At 63.7% G+C, this 863-nt stretch overlaps 1 annotated feature.

The window, feature by feature from the left end:
* Positions 582 to 631: a silencer, noted in NCBI's record as "silent region_6632". NCBI's record gives its function as "represses an Ori minimal core promoter by ATAC-STARR-seq in GM12878 lymphoblastoid cells {active_cell/tissue: GM12878}" and the evidence as "EXISTENCE:reporter gene assay evidence [ECO:0000049][PMID:35858748]".

Here is an 863-nt window from a genome sequence, read left to right on the forward strand (position 1 = left end):
TACCGTCTTTTTAAAATTCTCTACAGTTAACACACCCTTTGTTGCCTGCACCAGGGACAGACAGCTCCTACCGCCAGCCCTTGCTAAGGCTCTAGTGGGACGAGACCAGATTGAGTCCCCGGCACCTGGGTGTGCAGCCCCGCTCCTTTCTTCTAGCTGACAGGGCTGGCAAATTCCTGCCTCTCTGAGCCCCTTTCCCTTTGGCTCACTGTAACTGAGGGAAATTCTGACCTCTGGGGTGGTTGGGCAGATGACAGCAAAGGAAAGACCCAGGGCCTACCGCACAGGAGGTACTTACTAGCTGTCCTTCCCGCATCAGGGAACAGAGGAGACAGTGACTGAGGACCCCGCAGCGAATGCCCCACCCACACAGGCTTCCTCTCAGCGGGGCCTGTCCCCACTGCTTCCCCACAGCCCCAGAGGCCAGGCCTCAGCCATTCAGACGCGGGGGAGGTGATCGCAGCACAGGGCCGCGCCCTGCCTCTGCCGCTCCGGGGGTCCCCAAGGAAGCACCAACGCCTGGCCGCAGGGGGCAGTTGTCATGGGGACGCCAGGGCCCGCTGAGCTGCCTCCTTAGCAACGGGACTCCCCGGCCAGTTGCCATGGAAACAGCATCCCCTGGCAAGCGGTGATGGGGAACGGCTGGGTTTCCTGCCCTTTTCCGAGGACTTTCCCCTCCTAGGGCGGGAGACACGGCACTCCCTATACCGGCGGGAGCCGCGAGGACTTGGTTTTTCCAGTCGCCCGTCGCCACCCCAGGAGGGGGCCTCTGCCCGACCCCGCGAAGTCCCAGGGCCCGGAGGAACCCTCTGGAGACAGGGGTGGGGAAGGGGGTCACCCGGGGACCAGGCCTAGCCCCGAAC

Source organism: Homo sapiens, chromosome 15, assembly GCF_000001405.40.
Source record: "Homo sapiens chromosome 15, GRCh38.p14 Primary Assembly".
NCBI classification, from domain to species: domain Eukaryota; kingdom Metazoa; phylum Chordata; class Mammalia; order Primates; family Hominidae; genus Homo; species Homo sapiens.